At 42.7% G+C, this 22213-nt stretch overlaps 1 protein-coding gene across 2 annotated transcripts in view, besides 1 other annotated feature; it reads left to right on the forward strand.

Annotated features, from left to right (window-relative positions):
- Positions 1-22213, forward strand: part of GNAL (G protein subunit alpha L) — a 196422-nt gene that overhangs the window by 19045 nt on the left and 155164 nt on the right. The window lies entirely within an intron of this gene.
- Positions 5752-6311: an enhancer, noted in NCBI's record as "OCT4-NANOG-H3K27ac hESC enhancer chr18:11714059-11714618 (GRCh37/hg19 assembly coordinates)". NCBI's record gives its function as "activates a minimal SCP1, AML or CMV promoter by ChIP-STARR-seq in naive H9 embryonic stem cells {active_cell/tissue: H9 hESC(naive)}" and the evidence as "EXISTENCE:reporter gene assay evidence [ECO:0000049][PMID:30033119]".

The raw sequence follows: 22213 nt of genomic DNA on the forward strand, positions 1-22213 counted from the left end.
GTCTCAGGGCATAGGGAGGGCCCAGGAAAGGGAGAGAGATGGGGGAATGGCTGGTCAGTACAGCAGTCAGAACACACACACCATTTATCGATTGAGTTTGCCATCTTATATGGGTGCTATACGTGACACCTCAAAACAACTACAATAGTAACATCCAAGATCCCTTATCACAGGTCATTTTAACAGATATAATAATAATGCAAATATTTGGAATATTGCAAAGATTACCAAAACGTAATACAGAGACACAAAGTGAGCACATGCTGTTGGAAAAATGGTGCCAATAGACTTGCTCAACACAAGGTTACCACAGACCTGAAATTTATTAAAAATTTGTAAATTTGTATAAATGCAATATCTGCAAAACACAGTAAGGTGAAACACAATAAAACAAGGTACACCTTTATGTGGTTTACACATATTTTCTCCCTTTCAGTAGGTTGCCTCTTCATTCTGTTGATTGTTTCCTTTGCTGTGCAGAAGCCCCTCAGTTTGATGTCATCTCACTTGCCAATTTTGTCATTGTTGCCTGTGCTGTTGGTGTCATATCCAAGAAATCATTGCCAAGACCAATTAATGTCAGGAAACTTTTTTCCTATATTTTCGTTCAGTAGTTTTACAGTTTCAGGTCTTACAATTACGTCTTTAATCCATTTCGATTTACTTTTTGTGTGTAGTGTAAGATAAAGTTCCAATTTCATTCTTTTGCATCTGCATATACAATTTTCCCAACACCATTTGTTGCAGAAACTATCCTTTCCCCATTTTATATTCTTGGCACTCTTGTCAAAGATCAATTGACTATATTTGTGGATTTATTTCTGGACTCTCTATTCTCTTCCATTGGTTTATGTATCTATATGCCAGTACCATACTGTTTTAATTACTGTAACTGTGTAGTATGTTTTGAAATTAGGAAATGTGATGCTTCTAGCTTTGTTCTTCTTTCTCAAGATTACTTTGTCTACTTGGGGTCCTTTGTGGTTCCTTCTGAGTTTTAGGACTGTTTTCTCTATTTTTGTAAAAAAAAAAAAAAAAAAGTCATTAGGATTTCCCTGGGGATTGCATTGACTCAGTAGGTAGCTTTGGGTAGTACAGACATTTTAACAATATAAATCTTCCAATTTGTGAACATGGGATTTTTTTCCATTTATTTGTATCTTCTTTCATTTCTTATATCACTGTTTTGTAGTTTTCAGTATAAAGGTCTTTCTCCTCCTTGGTTAATTCCTAAGTGTTTTGTTATTTTTGATGTTGTTGTAAATGAGATTGTTTTTTAATTTCATTTTCAGATAGTTCATTGTTTGTATGTAAAACTGCAACTGATTTTATACATCAATTTTGTATCCTGCAACTTTGCTGAATTCATTTATTAGTTCTAATAGTTTTTTGGTGAAATTTTTATATTTTTGTATGTATAAGATCATGCCATCTGCAAGCAGATAATTTTACTTCTTCCTTTTGAATTTTGATGCTTTTTATTTCTTTTTCTTGCCTATATGCTTTGGCTGGGACTTCCTGTGGTGTGCTGAATAGAAGTGATGAGAGTGGGCATCTTTGCCTTCTTCCTAATCCTAGAGGAAAAAGCTTTTGCTTTTTCACCATTAAGTATAATATTAGCTGTGGGCTTTTCACATACAGCTTTAATTATAGTCAGTTAAATTTCTTCTATACCTAGTTTATTGAGAGTGTTTAATCATGAAATGGTGTTGAATTTTGTTAAATGCTTTTTTTGTATCTATTGAGATCACTATGTTATTTTTGTCCTTCACACTGTTAATGTGGTATATCACATTAATTGATTTACACGTGTTGAATCATCCTTGCGTTTCAGGGATAAATCCCACTTGGTCATAGTGCTGTTGAGTTCAGTTTCCTAATACTTTATTAAGGATTTTTGCTTCTGTGGACCTCAGGAATATTAGCCTATAGTTTCTTTTCTTGTAGTGCCTTCATCTGACTTTGGTATCGGCATACACTGGCTTCATAAAATGAGTTTGGAAGTGTTCCCTTTATGTTATTGATGACGCAGTTTACATCTTTTTATGTTGTGTATCCATTAACACATTTTTATATAGTTAGTGTTAATACTTTGTCTTTTAACTTTTAAGTTAGAATTAAAATTATTTACATATCAACATTACAGTATTCTATGTTTGTCTACATATTTACCTTTACGAATGAACTTTATACTTTCATATGCTTTCTTGTTGCTGTTTAGTATGCTTTCATTTCAACTTGAAAAACTCTCCTTAGCATTTCTTGTATGTCATATATGGTGGTGATGAATACCCTCAACTTTTGTTTGGGAAATTTTTTCTCTCTCCTTTTTTTTTTTGGAGGATAGTTTTGCCAGGTATAGTGTTCTTTGGTTGGCACTTTTTTCTTTTAGAACGTTGAATATATCATCCCACTCCTTTCTGACCTGAAAGATTTTTGCTAAGAAATCTGCCAATAGTCTTATGAGGGCTTCCTTTTATGTGACAAGTTCCTTTTCTCTTGCTGCTCAAAAAATTGTCTTTGACTTTTGACAATTTGATTACAATGTCTCAGTATGAACTGTTTTGTTTTGTTTTGTTTTGTTTGAGATGGAGTCTCGCTCTGTTATCCAGGCTGGAGTGCAGTGGTGTGATCTCGGCTCACTGCAAGCCCCACCTCCCGGGTTCACACCATTCTCCTGCCTCAGCCTCCCGAGTAGCTGTGTCTACAGGCGCCTGCCACCGCGCCCGGCTAATTTTTTGTATTTTTAGTAGAGACGAGGTTTCACCGTGTTAGCCAGGATGGTCTCGATCTCCTGACCTCGTGATCCACCCACCTCAGCCTCCCAAAGTGCTGGGATTACAGGCGTGAGCCACCATGCCTGGTCCTCAGTTTGAACTACTTTGGCTTTATCCTGTTCGTGATTCATTGAGCTTCATGAATCCGGATATCCATTTCCCTCTCCAGATTTGGGATGTTTTGACCATTATTTCTTTTAATAAGCTTTCTTCCTCAGTTTCTTTCTTCACCTTCTAGGATTCTCAAAATGTATACATTGATTAGCTTAATGGTGTCCTATAACTTCCTTAGGCTATCTTCAATTTTTCATTCTTTTTTTTTTCCTTTTTACTCTTCTGACTAGATAATTTCAAATGACCTGTCTTTGAGTTTGTTGATTCTTTCCTCTACTAACTCAGGTCTGCTCTTGAGCCCTGTAGTGATTATTTTCAGTTCAGTTAATATTCTTCAGCTTTACAATTTGTGTTTTGTTCTCTGTTTTATAGTTTCTATTTCTTTGTTGATATTCTAATTTTATGCATACATAGTTTTCTGATTTCCCTCAGTTGCCTGTGTTCTCTGGTAACTCTCTGAGCTTCATAAGATGATTATTTTTAATTCTTTGTCTGATCTCTGTCTATAGATCTCCATTTCTTTAGGGTAGGTTACTGGTGATTTGTTTTGTTCATTTAGTTGTGTCCCATTTCCCTCTTTCTTCATGTTCCTTATAGCTTTATGTTGGTATCTGTCCATTTGAAGAAACAGCCACCTCTCCCAGTCCTTATGGCTTTAGCAGGGAAAGATCTTCACCAATCAGCCTAGCTATAGATTCTGGGAAGCTCTCAAACTTTTTCTGTGGATGTGTCTTCCCTGGACTTGTGCATTTTAATTATAGGGATTTACTGGTTTCTTTTTTCAGGAGCCCATAATCTCTTGCTCCTTCTGGTGTCTCACTACTATACCATAGGCCAGGGTGCCCCACTCTTCTCCCTCCCTCCGTGGGGAGAAGTCATGAGTTTTGCACCTTTTCCCAATCAGCCAGAGCTGTGCTGGCCACAGCAAACCAACTGCCCCTTTTCTTTGTTCTTAGCTTTCCTCAGGCATTTAAACTATTCTTTGTCCCTCAGCACGCTGGGTGAAGCAAGATATAAATTGGTCCCTTGGGCAACACATAAAAAATTCAGAGTTGGATATTAATTCCACTCTCTCGGGGAGAGTGAGGCCAGGGTGGTCTTTCTGGGCACTGTGCTGTGCCAGCTTGGGGGCAGGCCCGACGTGCATAAAATTGAATTGCCCTTTTTACCTCTTTTAATGCAACTGCTTTGGCTTTTTACTTATCTGGAGTACTGTGACTTCTTAACTGGATTCTAGAGCTCTCATAAAGGTGTTTTGGCCCATATATTTTGTTACATCAATTTTTCAGCAGGGCAATAAATTTTTCAGCGGGGCTGGGACTTTCTATTTTGCCATCTTGCTGACATCACTCTCAAAAATAAAATTGTATTATTACATAATTTAAACTCAAATAGAGACCAAAGGATGGTGTGTGAACATTTATAATTTTTTTCTATAGAGTTACCAGTCCAGTTGAAAATCTCTGATTTCTCTCCCTGTCCCATTTACTCCTTAATCCTCCCTAGCAAGCACGGATTCTTAGTTATTCAGTTCTCCCTCTACAGGAGCAGAGGACGTGATTAGACCTGGTCAGGTCTCTCAGAAAAACATATCTACAAGGTGAACAGATTTTTTCCTTGCTCGTAGTAGCTGCCTTTCACAGACTACATTCCCTGTGTCATTCACTAGCCTATGTTTCCTTCATCCTACCTGAAACTCCCTCGTGGGCAAGGGATGAGAGAGGTGAGAAAAAGAAGGAGAGAGAAGGACCCCCTCCCAAGTCAACTGGGAATGACCAGTCTCTGATGTCCCCAGCCCATGAACACCATATGGGGCAACTGCGCTGTTTGCAGAACACTGTGAAATGCTGATATGTTTAATTCCTTCATGCTAAGAACAATTTTATCAATGAAAACTGTGTCCACAAGACATGTGTGTACAACACGAAGTGACTTCTGTGAGCACAGGGAGAAAACAAATGAAGGCCACCCAAATGAGAACAAGCAGAGGCTATTTATTTAGAACTTGCTATAGCAAAAGAGTCAGTGACCATCACTTGTGTTCGGCAGACTCAAAGACAGGCAGATGAGTGGGAAAGCTTTTTAGTGGAAAAAGGAAAGGCTTCAGATATTCCCTGATTGGAGGCTGTTGGCGTGGGGAAGCTGTAGGCTGGCTAAGTGCAAAGGGGACATCCCATGCAATTGGTTAGCAGAGCATCTTTGGGTTTCTCCAGTTGGTCCTAAGTAGGAGCAAAAATTAAGCAAGTTGATAATTATTAGTCAAGTTGTGGCCATTTGGAGCCAACTGTTACAAAGGTTATTGTTTGGCTTCCTGGAGTGGTTGCTGTTGTACTGGATACTGTCAATAATAGGTTGCCATCCTAGGCCAGTTGCTGCAGGTTGTGGGTCAGACTATATATATTTTTATATATAGCCTGGCCATTGCCTGTTTATATATTCAGTCCCTCAACACATATCTAGAGCGAAAACAATCATTTAAAAATAAGCAGAAAACCTCTGCTATACAAGGAAAGAACAGGCTGTAGAGCCAGGACCTGACTTGATTTCTGGCTCTGCTACCTCTGGCCGGTCACTGAGCACCTCCGAGCTCCCTTTCCTGGAGCATAAAATGAAGATGGGAATGTCGTCCAGAAAAATTGTTATGAAAATCTGCAAGGTGAGACCCATGCACAAAGCATGGTCTGGTGATTGGGGTCTCCTGCCCTTTTCCTGTCACTGCCAAGTTCACACTGAGGTCTAAAGGGCGAGGCCTAACACCTTCTCTGTCCTTGACACATTTGCATTTTATCAGGGATAAGGCCCAGGTTTGAAAAAAGGGAACAGCTTCAGAGTCGTGGGATTCTCAAGGGGCATCTCCGATGCCAGCAACTAAACTGCATCACAAAAGTCAGGGAAGCTTGGATTGTAGTCTCTCCCACCCTTCCTATAAATACTTCTCTTCCTGGGGCCTGCCCACTAGGTACCCCTGCCATATTCCATCAGTGAAACGCATGAACCAAAAAGTATTTGAGACAGATCTCAGTCGGTTTAGTTTCATTTTGCCAAGGTTGAGGACAGCCCAAGGAAAAAAGACACAAGTCACAGTAGGATTTGTGGACTGTGCTTTTTCCAAAAGAGGATTTTAAGAACTTTAAAAAGGAAAGAGCAGACAGGAGGGGAAGGAGGGAAGAAAAAAAGGGACAGTAGGTGCTGAGGTGAGTGGTCACAGTCTTGTGAGGCTTTGCTGAGCGCTCGCTGAATCCACATGTGAAAGGAGGGGTAGAGGTATGTTAATTATGCGTTTGTCTCACGCTCAGTAAATCTGCATTTTATATGAGATAAAGTAAATGTAGAGTAGAGGAAGAGGTCAAATACACATTTCTCTCAGAGGGATGATTTCTAGTCTTGTCTTTGTCCTGTACCTGTGAAGATACACTGTTAATTTATATTGTCAGGGTGAAACAAAACAAAACTCCGTTTTAGGGCTCACAAAGAATTTCCTTGTGAGCAGTTAGTGAGGGAGGCCACCTGGGGAGATAGGTGACCTATCTTCTGTCTTTGTAGCCATCTGTTTAGGAACAAAAGGAAGGCAGTTTTTGTATGATTCAGTTCCCAAGTGTAACTTTCCCTTTGGCATAGTGAGTTTAGGGTCCCGAGATTTTATTTTCCTTTCACATTAAGGATAGCTAATGCTGGGTGTGGCGGTTCACACCAGCACTTTGGGAGGCCAAAGCAGGTGGATCACTTGAACTCAGAGTTCAAGGCCAGCCTGGGCAACATGGTGAAACCCTGTGTCTACAGAAAAATACCAAAAAAAATAACCAGGCATGGTGGTGCACACCTGTAGTCCCAACTACTCAGGAGGCTGAGGTGGGAGGATTGCTTGAGCCCAGCAGGTCAAGGCTGCAGTGAGCCATGATGGTGCCACTGCACTCTGGCCTGAGCAACAGAGTGAGATCCTGTCTCAAAAAAAAAAAGAAAGAAAAGAAAAGATAACAAGGCCGGGCGCGGTGGCTCACGCCTGTAATCCCAGCACTTTGGGAGGCCGAGGTGGGCGGATCACAAGGTCAGGAGATCGAGACCATCCTGGCTAACACGGTGAAACCCTGTCTCTACTAAAAAAATACAAAAAATTAGCCAGGCGTGGTGGTGGGCACCTGTAGTCCCAGCTACTCGGGAGGCTGAGGCAGGAGAATGGCATGAACCCGGGAGGCAGAGCTTGCAGTGAGCCGAGATCGCGCCACTGCACTCCAGCCTGGGTGACAGAGCAAGACTCCATCTCAAAAAAAAAAAAAAAAAAGAAAAGAAAACAAATGAGCACAGGGATTGCTAAGCGGGTTGCAAGTTTAAATAAAGTGGTCAGGAAGGCTTTGTTGAGAAAGTGGACATTTTAGCCAGGGTGTGGAGGAAACAAAAGAGGGGACCAGGTCATTCTCTGGAGAAGAGCATTGGGATATGGAGAGCCAGGTGCAGATGCCCTGAGGTTTGCATGAACTGATGTGTTCAAGGAATAAGCCACAGGCCCATGGTCAACCAAGTAGGAACATATAAGGCAGTAAAAGGACCTTGGGTTTTACTTTGGCTATTTATAATAATCCAAGCAGCCAGTAGAAGCTGGGAGCAGGGTGGTAGTAATGGACTGATGAGAAGTGGTCAAGTTCTAGATAGATTTTGAAGGCAAATTAACAATTTGCTAATGAACATATGAAAAAAAAAAAGCTCAACATCACTGATCATTAGAGAAGTGCAAATCAAAACTACCATGAGATACCATCTCACACCAATCAGAATGGCTATTATTAAAAAGACTACTATTAAAAAACAGATGCTGGTAAGGTTGTGGAGAAAAAGGAACGCTTATACACTGTTGGTGGGAGTGTAAATTAGTTTAACCATTGTAGAAAACAGTGTGGTGATTCCTCAAAGACCTAAAAACAGAACTACCATTCGACGCAGCAATCTCATTACTGGGTATATACCCAAAAGAATATTGATAATCCTACTGTGTCCGGAATTGGTGGGTTCTTGGTCTCACTGACTTCAAGAATGAAGCCGCGGACCCTCGCGGTGAGTGTTACAGTTCTTAAAGGCGGCATGTCCAGAGTTTGTTCCTTCTGACGTTCGGATGTGTTCAGAGTTTCTTCCTTCTGGTGGGTTCGTGGTCTCACTGGCTTCAGGAGTGAAGCTGCAGACCTTCGCGGTGAGTGTTACAGCTAATAAAGGCAGTGTGGACCCAAAGAGTGAGCAGCAGCAAGATTTATTGCAAAGAGTGAAGGAACACAGCTTCCATGGTGTGGAAGGGGACGGGAGCAGGTTGCCACGGCTGGCTCTGGCAGCCTGCTTTTATTCTCTTATCTGGCCCCACCCACATCCTGCTGATTGGTAGAGCTGAGTGGTCTGTTTTGACTGGGTGCTGATTGGTGCATTTACAATCCCTGAGCTAGACACAAAGGTTCTCCACCTCCCCACCAGATTAGCTAGATATAGAGTGTCCACACGAAGGTTCTCCAAGTACCCACCAGAGTAGCTAGATACAGAGTGTCGATTGGTGCATTCACAAACCCTGAGCTAGACACAGGATGCTGATTGGTGTATTTACAAACTTTGAGCTAGATACAGAGTGCCGATTGGTGTATTTACAATCCCTGAGCTAGACATGAAAGTTCTCCACGTCCCCACCAGACTCAGGAGCCCAGCTGGCTTCACCCAGTGGATCCCGCACGGGGGCTGCAGGTGGAGCTGCCTGCCAGTCCCGCACGGTTGTGCCCACACTCCTCAGCCCTTAGGTGGTCGATGGGACTGGGTGCCTGGAGCAGGGGGCGGCGCTGGTCAGGGAGGCTCAGCTTTGCAGGAGCCCATGGAGGGTGGGGGAGGCTCACGCATGGCGGGCTGCAGGTCCCCAGCCCTGCCACGCGGGAAGGCAGCTAAGGCCCAGGGAGAAATTGAGCACAGCAGCTGCTGGCCCAGGTGCTAAGCCCCTCACTGTCTGGGGCCGGTGGGGCCAGTGGAGCCAGCCGGCCGCTCCCAGTGCGGGGTCCGCGGAGCCCACGCCCACCCGGAAGTCACACTGGCCCTGTTCCCCCGGCACCTCTCCCTCCCCGCCTCTCCCTCCACACCTCCCCGCAAGCTGAGGGAGCCGGCTCTGGCCTTGGCCAGCCCAGAAGGGGGCTCCCACAGTGCAGTGGCGGGTTGAAGGGCTCCTCAAGTGCCGCCAAAGTGGGAGCCCAGGCAGAGGAGGCCCCGAGAGCGAGTGAGGGCTGTGAGGGCTGCCAGCACGCTGTCACCTCTCACTACCATAAAGACATATGCACACGAATGTTCATTGCAGCACTGTTCAAAATAGCAAAGACATGGAATCAAACTAAATGTCTGTTGTGGTAGACTGGATAAGAAAAATATGGTACATATACACCATGGAATATTATGCAGCCATAAAAAAAAGAACGAGGTCATGTCCTTTGCAGGAACATGGGTGGAGCTGGAATCCATTATCCTTAGCAAACTAACGTAGGAACAGAAAACCAAATACTGCATGTTCTCACTTATAAGTGGGAGATAAATGATGAGAACACATGGACCCATAGAGGGGAACAATACACACTGGAACCTTTCAGAGGGTGGAGGTTGGGAGGAGGATCAGGAAAAACAACTAATGGGTACTAGGCTTAATACCTGGGTAATGAAATAATCTGTACAATAAAACCTCAAGACACAAGTTTGCCTATATAATAAACCTGCACATGTACCTCTGAACCTAAAATGTTAAGAAAAAAAAGAAATCAGTCTTAAGCAAACATGCTAAACAAGTCTACTAGAAATAGGCATATGGATTGCTTGTATCTTCATATTACATGACAGTGTTAGAAGATAATCTAATTTACTACTAAGAAATACAATCAATTATTAAATAAATAATGTTCCAGACAAAATACCTAGCAGTTTAAAAAAAAAGTTGCATTCTTTATCAGATTACCAAGGTAATACATGTTCACAGGGGAAAATTTGAAAAGTAAGGATAAAGAAGAAAAATGAAAAGAATCTTATGTGACATAATCATTTATTCTTACATTTTCTTAAATTTTTAGTGCAAATTGTCATTCATTTTTCAAGAATCTGAAAAATGACCGGCATTTATCGTTATCTTTAAGGTTAGATATTGACATTTGATTTAAGTCATTCAGAGACAATCAGCCATAATGCAAGTGTGCTATATAATCAATACGGCAGAGTCAATAGGGTCAGGGATTTTACATTCTGTCTTTGTTTCAAAGTTTTGGTAATATAATGCACCGTTTATTTTTCTAAATATGACTATAAGTTATTTAAATGGAATAATGTTTATGAAAGACCTCTCAACATCCTTTATAAAATCATTCACAGATTGATCTCTTATAGCCAAAAAATCAAAGCTGTACATGAAAATGGATTTTCCCCTGCTCTATCTACTTTGAAATAATGATTAGATCACAAGCATCTTCTAGCTAAGGTTTCAATCACTTTACCTCCAGTGGATATTTGTTCTCAGTGTTTCTCTGAGCAGCATTAACAATTGCCCTAATAAACCAGTTCTAAATGAGAGAACTGCACTGTACTAAGATGATGATCTGTGACTTGTTTTATTCCTCCTAGTAACTATATGTAGTGAAGAATGGTTAATGTGTTCTTTTCTGGCTTTTTTTCATTATAGTTTGTCTTAATGGTCTCAAAATGTCATGATGAATATTTTGTCAAGTTGTTTCCATTTTTAAAGCCCTGACTTTATAAAGCAAATTTAATATGAATTTTGTGTACCATGAATTAAATGGTACACAAACTAACAAAAAGAAAATAAAAAATTTGCTGATGAATTGGATGTAAATAGGAGAGAAGGTGAGGAGTCAAGGCTGATTGTCATTTGGTGGGGACGGATAGAGCTAAAATGTATTGAGGACCTCATATGTGTACTATATATTCTCCAAACATCACAACTATTTAAAAACATTATAACTACATAAATAGTTGAAACTGTTGTGTCTGAATTCTATCATTAAAAAAAAATGTATCCTCACAATTTAAATGAAGACACCAGTCACGTGATGGTTGAGGATTGAAGGAGTGGAGGTGTTTGATGTGGATTTTTTTTTTAATTTATCTTCTTTACAAATGACAGGAAGACTGACAGCAGCAAAGATGTATTGCAAAACAGTCAGGGTTACCAGAGAGTCATGTTATTATAAAAGGTACCTAGTATTGCTGTATTTCAGCCTGAGTTTAGGTGGATAAAATCCAAGGCCTCGGTTTCTTCCTTTGATGACACTGGCATTTTATTCAAACAGAGGGAAACTGAGACCATCAGGCAGCTGACAGCTGAGCCTGCCTTAAATACAAGTGGAAGAAGAAATCCACGAAAATCTGGGTTCCTCTTATCTAAGTCATGCAATCTGTTGATACTAAATTGCTTGCGCCCTGGATGTGTAGTTGGGTTGTAGCTTTTGGAGACAAATCCAGCACACCTACTATTCCTTGAAGCATTTGAGTGGCTGATGCCTCACCCTGGAAGAACGGAAGCAGGCTGTCATGGACAGTGCAGAGCTGCACTCACACCATGCTGCAGCAGCCATGGACAGTGCAGAGCTGCGCTCACACCATGCTGCAGCGGCCGTGGACGGTGCAGAGCTGCGCTCGCACCATGCTGCAGTGGCAACATCAAGACATTTATAGCAGCATGTGTGTGTGCCAGCAATAGAGTGCAAGAGACAGATGTCCCTGGGAGGTTGGTGGACCACACAGCATACCTACTTGCTGTTTTGGCTTATGTTCCACAGCAGGGCTCCTCAACCTTTAATGAACATTTGAATCCCCAGGGATTTTGATAAAATGCAGATTCTGATTTAGTAGGTCTCAGGTGGGGCCCACAATTCTGTTTTCCTAGCAAGCACCACATGATGCTTATCAGGCTAGACTGTGAACTGTATTTTGAATAGCAAGGTGAGTCTAGACCAAGAGTTAGCAGACTGTTTCTGTAGGATGAATAGTTTAGGTTTTATAGACTAAATGGTAAAATCAAGGATTATTATGTAGATACTTACATAAGAGGAGAGAAAACAAATTTCCACCAAATTTTTATTAATGAAATCTAAAACATAAAACAAAAATAATTGTGTACAATTTTTTGTAAGATAGGTCTACTAATAAAAAGAATGCAACTGTTTTGGGGGAGGGATAACATTTCACTAAATTAATGTTCAAAGTAAGTGCTCCCATTATCAAAATCAATAGCAGATGTCATCTGTCAATGCTGACTTGTAGTGCGACGTTATGTGTTTCATCTTTGCAAATGTCTTTTCACTCAGACAGATACTGCCAAATATGGATGTCAGTCCACAAGCTTGTGATTTTTAATTGAGCATATTCATCATTTGGAAGACATCTATAAATTGTGTTTGATTCTTCTCTTGATATCTGCCTTCTGGCATTGCATAACATTGCAAACTAACCACTTCCAATTGAAGTTGAAGTGGAAGCTTCTCAATTGCACAGTTAAATGGATGTCGAAATTTGGAAATTTCCTTCGTACTTTTGTCAAGTTGTGAAAAGGCTCCTGGAATTGTCATTTGAGCTTGGAAAATATTTCTGCTGCAAATTTGTGTGGAAATGGAGAGCTCACTTCCTGTTTTACCTTTTGACAGCACAGGAAGTATGCAAAGCACCTTGACATTGTTTATGATTCAAGCAACATTAATGTCCCTAAATAACTTTATTGCAATATAAGATTTGCATACAGATGCAATTTTACCTTATAATTTTAGGTTGAATTACTTAAGAAACAGGTCTTCAGCAAAAGCCAATTTTCAAAGCAATTCAGTGTTCAATAATGGAGATTGTCAAAGGTTCTTCTCTTCCAGAAAAGTGTTCATCTCAGCTCTAAGTTCAAAAATTCACAATAAAACTTTACCACTGCTAAGCCACCGTACTGCTGTAAGCTAAGTCAGGATACTCAGCTTCTGTTTTTAACAAACATTAATGAAACTGACGATGTTCACAGAAGTAAATTTCACTCCTGATGCTAAGGGTTCAAAAACTCATGACAGATTCAAACATTGTCCGCAGAGCACTTGCTAGCGATTAGTAAGATAAATAACAATGGGATTTTAAAACCTTACATTTAACAAGCTTTGTAAATTTGTCCAACTAAACCTTTTTCTGCTCCACAGATATTTTTACCACCATCAGTGGTCACTCATCTTAGTGGATTCCACTTATTCAAGTTCACTGAATTAATGTTTCCTTAATGCCTTTGAAAATAGTCTCACCGGCTGGACACGGTGACTCAAACGCCTGTAATCCTAGCACTTTGGGAGGTCGAGGTGGGCAGATCACCTGAGGTCAGCAGTTCCAGACCAGACTCGCCAACATGGTGAAACCCCGTCTCTATTAAAAATACAAAAGTTAGCCAGGCATGGTGGCAGGTACTTGTAATCCCAGCTACTCTGGAGGCTGAGACAGGAGAATCTGTCTCTGGTAGCCAGCCATCATGCCTGGCTAATTAGAGTCTAACATGCCTGGCTAGTTAGAGTCAGGTTTTCACCATGTTGGCTAGGCTGGTCTCAAACTCCCGACATCAGGTGATCTGCCCACCTTGGCCTTGAACCCTGGAGGTGCAGGTTGTGGCGAGCCAAGATCATGCCATTGCACTCCAGCCTGGGAGACAAGAGTGAAACTCTGTCTCAAAAAATAAATAAATAAATAAATAAATAAATAAATAAATAAATAAATAATAAAATAGTCTCACCATAGCTGATTCACTAAGACAGTTCACAGAGGCTAAATTTTCAGTTCCTTTGAACTCAGCATTGACTCCTTGAATAAACAGTAACAACTGAGCATCATCGGTGTTAACATCACTAGCCAAGGAAAGCCACTCAGAATCATTCACCTTGGTTTTGAATTGACAAATAATGTTGTTCCCAACATTCTCAACTCTCCAAACAACTGTTCTTACCAAAAGACTAACAGTTTATTTTCTCTGGACACATTTCTTCAGCAGTTGCAATCAAACATGATTTAATTAACTTACCACCAGCAAATGATTTTTCCTGCTTGGCTAACAAATGAGCCACTCAGAAACTTAACTGGGGTAAAGAAAATTCTGCTGTGATGAGGCATTCCATTTTAAGTTTTCTGATTTTTCTGACCATTGCTTTTCTGTGAGTTGGGGATATTGTGAGTGGTAGGTCTGCTAACAGTGATATGTATTATATATTCTTCTAGCATAGATATAGCATCATTGCATAGTACAACAGTGCTTTGCCATGTAATTTGTTAGCAAATAAAGCACCCTTCACTGTACCATAAAGATGGGAGGCTCTAAGTCCACTTGTTGTTTCTTGCTTTGACAAAGTAGGCATTTACTGATAATAAATAAAATGTTGGCTGGGTGCGGTGGCTGACACCTGTAATCCCAGCAATTTGGGAGGCCAAGGTGGGCAGATCACCTGATGTCAGGAGTGAGTTCGAGACCAGCCTACCCAACATGATGAAACCCCATCTCTAACTGAAAATACAAAAATTGGGCAGGGCATGGTGGCTCAGGCCTGTAATCCCAGCACTTTGGGAGGCCGAGGCAGGTGGATCACCTGAGGTCAGGAGTTTGAGACCAGCCTGACCAACATGGAGAAACCCTGTCTCTATTAAAAATACAAAATTAGCTGGGCGTGGTGGCGCATGCCTATAATCCCAGCTACTCGAGAGGCTGAGGCAGGAGAATCACTTGAACCTGGGAGGCGGAGGTTGCAGTGAGCCAAGATCGCGCTATTGCACTCCAGCCTGGGCAACAAGAGCGAAACTTCATCTCAAAAAAAAAAAAAAAAAAAAAAATTAGCCTGGCGTGGTGGCACATGCCTGTAATCCCAGCTACTCCAGAGGCTAAGGCAGGAGAATCACTTGAACCTAGGAGGCAGAGGTTGCAGTGAGCCAAGATCGTGCCACTGCACTCCAGCCTGGGTGACAGAGTGAGACTCTGTCTTGAAAAAAATAAAAAAATAAAACGTTGTAGTCTGTACAACATGAAAACAGGCCAAGGCCACAATACATAAATGGAGGAGTGTGGCTGTGTTCCAATAAAACTTTACAAACACATTTGAATTTCGTATAGTTCTCACATGTCATGAAATCATCCTCTTTTTGTTATTTTGCAACCATTTAAAAAATGTAAAAATCATTCTTAGCTCATACAAAAACAGGCAGCAAGACAGATTTAGCCCACAGGCCTTGGTTTGCTAATCCCTGGTCTAGACTCTATAGACAACCCCAAGCATATGAACAAGATATTCATTCTAAAAGGTCATTTTATCAAGAACGATAACTACCCCCATTTATTACTATGAAAGAGGCACATAGTGCTATTCAGATACTTATCAAATACATACAGGAACCTCAGCAGGTCCTTCACACACAAAGGTGGTGTCATCCAGGCACCCTGAAGTGCTCCAGCCCTTTGCATTAATACCCCAGAAAGGGAGGTGGGGCCCTGCAGGAAGCCCAGCCCCCTCCCGTGATATCTGAGTGTCCTTGGAGGTCCCACTCCCCTTTCTTCTGTCCTCGGGCCCTGGGAGTCACTCCCCTCTTTCCTGACACAGCCTGTCCCTCCTAGTGGGTGGCACAGTACAGGAGTGGACCTAATGGGAGTGTGGCACCTCTCCCCCACTCTGCACAGACCCTTTTGTACACAAAAAGAATTCCCTTCTCTTCTGAGCATGAAAGGCAGGCTTGGCTTGGGATGAGAAGGAACTGGTCTTTGAAAGGGGGTCGTACCCTCTAGGAGAGAGTGGAAAACAGCTGAGAGCCTATTATAGTCATTTCCTCTTGCTGCTGTCTTGAATTACAGCAAACTTAGTGGCTTGAAACAGCAACCAAATTTATTATCTTACCCGTCCTTAGGTTAGAAGCCTGCATTAGTCTGTTCTTGCATTGCTGGAAAGAAATGCCTGAGACTGGGAAACTTATAAAGAAAAGAGGTTTAATTGGCTCACAGTTCCACAAGCTGTACAGAAAGCATGATGCTGGCATCTGCTCAGCCTCTGGGGGGGACCTCAGGAAACTTACGGGGGCAGCGTTTTCAGGCTGGCTTCTTTCACTGAGCAATGTGTGTTAGTATAATATGTATTCACTTCCTAGGACTGCCCTGATAGAGCACCACAGGCTGCGTGGCTTATACAACAGAAGTGGACTTTCTCATAGTTCTGCCGGCTAAAAGGATGTCCCTTCCCCACTGCTCTTCAGCAACGTCCCAGAAAGACGGTGCAGTGCTGTAGCTGTTCTCTTATTGGGGGTGCTTGCAAATCATGCAGAACCATCCACACACACGACCTGAGTCTTCTTTTCCTCTGTCGACCGATCGTAGGGAACTTCCAGTGAGGCTGTAGGTGCAGGCAGGGGACCAAAGGTATGATAGCAGGAGTGGGGACCACAGGAATTTGGGCCACTTCTGCATATAACTTCCTGGTGCCTTCGGGGCCTGCTCAGGCCCAGTCACGACTAGCCACTTCCATTTGATGATGGAGTGCTGCTGTGCACGCCTGATGTTATAGTGTCAACCCCCAGCACAGGTCCTGTGGTAACTCAGTGGCCTGTAGTCAAGCATTCAGCATCTACCAAGGCCCAGGAGCAGGCCAAGGGTTGTTTCTTAAAAGGAAAGTCCTTATCCCCAGAGAATGGTAGTGCCTTGCTCCAAAATCCTAGAGACTTGTGCTGCAGTTTGCTTGTCGGGGCCTGCCAAAGGCTCCAAACAGCATCTCCATCTGCCTCTGACACCTCGAGCACCATGGGGTCTGCTGGGTCATATGGCCCGAAGGGGAGAGCAGCTTGCACAGCAGCCTGGACCTGTTGCAGAGCCTTCCCTTGTTCTGGGCACCACTCAAAACTAGCAGCTTTTTGGATCACTAAATTAATGAGCCGGAGTCACACACCCAAATGTTAGGGGCTGCCTCCCACAAAATCATATATTGAAGTCCTAACCCGCAGCCTCTCAGAATGTGACTGCATTTGGAGATTGGGGATTTAAAGGGTAATTAGGATAAAATGAGATTAGGATGGACCCTAATCCAGTATGCCTGTTGTCCTTATAAGAAGAGGAGATTAGGACACAGACAGGCACGGAGGTAAGACCATGTGAAGACCCAGGGAGAGGACGCCATCCGCAAGCCAGGGAAAGAGACCTCAGAAGAGACTAACTCTGCTGACACCCTGGCCTTGAACTTCTAAGCTCCAAAATTGTGAGAAAATAAATTTCTGTTGTTTAAGCCACCCAGTCTGTGATGCTTTATTATGGCAGCTCTAGTAAACGAATATATCATCCTTTTGGCTTTTCCAGAATGTTGTATTGTTGGAATCATATAGTATGTAGCCTTTTCAGACTTCTTTCACTTAGTAAAATGCATTTAAGGTGGCTCCATGTCTTTTCATGGTGTGATAGTTCATTTCTTTTCATCATCAAATAGTAGTTTGTTTATTCATTCACCTGTTGGACATCTTGGTTGCCTCCAAGTTTTGGCAATCGTGAGTAAAGCTGCTGTGAGCATTCGTGTGCAGGTTTTTGTGTGGATGTAAGTTCTCAACTCATTTGGGTAAATACCAAGGAGTGTGATTGCTGGATCATGTGGTAAGAGTATATTTAGCTTTGCAGGAAACTACCAAATTGTCTTTTAAAGCAGCTGTAACATTTTGCATTCCCACCAGCAATGAATGAGAGTTCCTGTTCCTCCACATCCTCACCAGCATTTGGTGGTGTTGGTGTTTTCAGTCTTAGCCACCTTGCCTGTGACCGTTCGGTCCCAGCACCATCTTTTGAAAAGACTATCCTTTCTCCACTGACTTGTGTTTCCTCCTTTGTCAAAGATCAGTTGACTGTATTTCTGTGAGTCTATTTCTGGGCTGTCTCTTCCATTGATCTGCATGTCTGTTGTTGCACCAGATCACTGTAGCTTTATGTTATAGTGAGTCTTGAAATCATGTAGTGTCAGTCCTCTGACTTCATTCTTCTTCAATATTGTGTTGGCTGTTGACTTTCCCTTTAGCACATTCCTTTTCTGACTAAATTAGCCAGAGTTGGCCTCTGTTAAGAATTTAATAGGCCTTGGTGAACAATAATTCACCATTTCCACTTTATCTTCTTCCTCTTTTAGGATTCTTAGGAACCTAGATTTCTTGGATTCTCTATTGTCATTTCTGATTTAAACAGCAAATGCCACTGCTTATTAATAACCATTTGTGCAAATCTCTGTGCTGTGAACACTGATGAATATAAGTAAATCGAAGTGGACCGCAGAATTCAGTGAGCAGGAGAAGCTGTCTCTGAGCTCCCAGGCCTCTGCCCCTCTCTGGGGCACCTCCTCGCGCCCTGGGGTTTCTTCTCCATGTTTATCCTGGGATCTTCTGATCCACTGTGCCAGTGGGCACTTCCTTCCTGGACGGTGGGTCCTTCTTTCCCTTTCTGTCTCTGGGGTAGGCTTTCAGCATGGAGCTGCTGTTGCTCTGTTAATACCCTCCCATGCCTGAATCAACCATGTCCTAATAGAATTACGTAACCATGAGTCAAAGCATGAGATTCACCATCAAAAACAGACAGGTAGTGTTAAGTTCCACAACAAAATCACACTGCCTTCATTGTTTGTTTTAAAATAATCAAAATGAATCCTAGCCAAAACCCCAGTGTTTAAGACATAAAATCAAGCCTGTGCTGGTTGGACAGAATGGGACAGGTTGTAAGGAAAAGTAGTCTTTTTTTTTTTTCTTAAGGTTAGAAAACATTTGAGATCAGCCAGCAAAGCTTTCTTTAGTGACACCAGGAACCAGGCTGCTTGGGGTCCTCAGTAGCAGCCTCTGTGTGCGTCCTCCACACCCCCAGCCCTAGTCCGCGCTGGGTGCCCCTCCCTCCTTGCTGTTCAGTGTGGGCCCTTCCCTGCTTACACCCTGTGCCCTCTGCTCTCACTGGGTCCCCACTACCACCCTGCCCAGCCCTGCAAGGCCCTTCCCTAGGCTCAGCAGCTTCCCTGCGCACCCTCTCTGCCAGCTTCTCTGCTGCTCTCCATCTGGGCGGAGCCGCAGGGTGTCAGGCATCCCAAGCCTGGGAGTCCCCACACTTTCCCACCTGCCTTGTGGGGTAGCAGCCCCAGACCCTGTCCCTGGGCCGTCTTTTTATTTCTTTATCTACCAGCTACCTTTTCAAATAAATGTGAGCCCTGGAGTTTGAGACCAACCTGGGCAAGAGACCCCTCTCTACAAAAAATAAAAAATTTCCTGGGCATGGTGGTGCCCACCTGTGGTCCTAGCTGTTCCAGTAACGGATGGGCTGCAGCTTCTGCTCCCCTCATCTTCTGCCTAAACCGGGACCCCAAACGGAAATGATAAGCCTGAAACTCAAAGGCAGAATGTCGGATGTGGAGGCATTTATTGAGCCAATTGTATAAGGATATTGTACATCTCTTGTTTTAATCCAGACCCTTTTCCATTGTAAATGGTAGAATTCTAACTCAAACAAGTGTAAGGTAGAGAGGAGGAGTTTTTTTGACTCAGGTAATCAGGGTTTTAAAGGCAAAAAGTGGGGAAAGAGAGTAGTCTGATACAAAATTATTTGTCAGGAATTTTCATTCGTTTACAGAAGTAACATTGATTAGTAACTGGCTATACATTTTAACCTATGGAGTGTGGGCTATGGTGTCCAGTGTGGCATTGTTAAGTTAATTTATAGCTATTTGTGGCAACAGAAGGCAGTTTTAAGAGATGAATACAGGCTGGCATGATGGCTCGTGCCTATAACCCCAACAATCTGGGATGCTGAGGCAGGAAGATCACTTGAGGCCAGGAGTTCGAGACCAGCCTGGGCAACATAGGCAGAGTTTGTCTCTATAAAAAATCAAAAAATTAGCTGGGTGTGGTGATCTGTGCCTGTGGTCCCAGCTACTCAGGAGGATCCCTTGAGCCCAGGAGATTGAGGCCACAGTGCGCTGTGATCACACCACTCCACTCCAGCCTGGGTAACAGAGTAAGACCCTATGTCTTTAATTAACAACAGCAACAAAAGATGAATACATAGCTCAAAATGGTAGTGCAAGCAGGGGGTGGGGTGGGGGGAGTAAGGCATGATTGTTGTCTCATTTTAATGTCTCTCTGAGCCTGATGATTTAAAAGGACTCACATTCTTCAGGCAAAAGTTATTTACTTTTGGAAGTCCACCTGCTCTCACAGCCAGTGTCATGTAAGCTCTCTCCCCTGTCTTGATTCTGCCCTCTTCTGGCTGCATTTTTACACTTGCTTCCAGGAGCTCCACCTTCATCAAGTCTCAGCAGCACAGTGGAGAGAGGCTCTGGGGGCTCATTGCAATTCTGAGTTGGACAACTCAGGCGGGAGCTTAGAATTGTTTCTAACAGGTGTTTGTTCTTGTCCCAAACCTCAAAGTTTCTTTTTAAGATAAATCTGCTTAATAGTTTCTACAATTATTTCTGAACTTCATTTCACCCTCAGTCTTTGCACAGACATTGATTCCTTCACATTGTTCTTTTATTTTCTTACAGTGATGATACAGACAGAAATACAGATATTTGCTACATCTCTGTAAGAAAATGTAATATTCCTGGATTCCTGTCTTAGACGATGAGTTTTATATTGTGTAATACAAATCAATATTGCAAGCAAAAGACATTTATACATTTTGAAAACAAATTGTTTCCTTGGGAGCCTGCTGATGAAAGGCTGACTCCTCTTGGGAGAAATCACTCAAAGCTCTGAGAGTTTAAACACACTGGGATGGGATGGACGAGTTAGTACTGGTTAGTAGATAAAGTCTCCAAGAAACATCAGAGCCATTTGGGTGGGGAAGGGATCTCCAGCATCATATTTTTGATTTGCTCTTTGGTGTTTTTATTGATGATTTGGTATTTGGCCGCAAACGAGATAGTTAACCCAGATTTCTAAAATCCTGGAACTGAACATTTAGAATATGAAGACTGTGAGATCATAGGTTCATAGATGTGTTGGGTACAACATCTTCCATCAAAGAGAAAGGGGACATTTTTTTCCTGAGCGGTTAGAAGGAAAACATGCTTCCTGCCTATGGAGCAGTGGTCTTAGCGCTCCTCTTGCCCCACCTGTGTGGGTTTTCACTCTTTTGCCCACTCTGCCTTCCCTAAGCACAGTGAACCAGCTGGAGGATGCTCTCTGCTCACCAATTCCAGAGCTTCCCCGGCTTCCTCTGCCCTTGGAATCCCTCTCCCACACTCCTAAGTAGCCAGATCCTCTCCAGATTTAACGGTCGATTACAAGTGTTACCTCCTCTTTGAAACATTTTCTGACCCTCTGTGTTGGAAGTGCTCTTCCTTAAGTTTCCACTCGTTTTATTATGTACTTCCTTCATAATACTCATTACCTTTTATTGTAGATATTTGTAAGTTTCACTTAAATGCATTAGCAGATTATATATTCTGTGCGAGCCATATCCATTCTGATTCATTTCTGTATCCTCCACACCACCCAGCAGAATCTGGCATAAAATGCTGTAAACAGGAAAACCAAACCTTGTAAAATATTTTATTAATAAAGAGGTTTATTCTGAGCCAATGTGGCTGCTCGCGGCTGGCAGAAAACACAAACCCAGGAAGCCTTGATTAAGTCGCCCCGAGGCAGTTGGGTTACAGCTTGATTTTACACATTAGGGAGACTGGAGTTGCAGGTAAAATCATAAAGCAACACATGGAAATTCTACATTAATTTGGCCCAAAAAGGCGAGACATCTGGAAGCAGAGGCTTACAAGTCATAGGTGGGTTTTAGGGATTCTTTATTTAGTTGGCAATGGGTTGAAAGAGTTAAGTTTTTCTTTTCTTTTCTTTTCTTTTTTTTTTGAGACAGAGTCTCGCTCTTTCGCCCAGGCCGAACTGCAGTGGCGCTATCTCGGCTCACTGCAAGCTCTGCCTCCCAGGTTCACAACATTCTCCTGCCTCAGCCTCCCACTTTTTTTTTTTTTTTTTGAGGCAGAGTATCCCTCTGTCACCCAAGCTGGAGTGCAGTGGCACGATCTCAGCTCACTGCAGCCTCCACCTCCCAGGTTCAAGCGATTCTTCTGCCTCAGCCTCCTGAGTAGCTGGGATTACAGGTGCCGGCACCACGCCCAGCTAATTTTTGTAGTTTTAGTAGAGATGGGGGTTTCCCCACGTTGGCCACGCTGGTCTCGAACTCCTGATCTCAGGTAATCTGCCTGCCTCGGCCTCCCAAAATGCCGGGATCACAGGTGTGAGCCACCATACCTGGCCAAGTTAAGTTTTTCTAAAGACTTGCTGGGCACAGTGGCTCACGCCTGTAATCCCAGCACTTT

The sequence above is a fragment of the Homo sapiens genome, chromosome 18 (genome assembly GCF_000001405.40).
Source record: "Homo sapiens chromosome 18, GRCh38.p14 Primary Assembly".
In the NCBI taxonomy this organism is placed as follows: domain Eukaryota; kingdom Metazoa; phylum Chordata; class Mammalia; order Primates; family Hominidae; genus Homo; species Homo sapiens.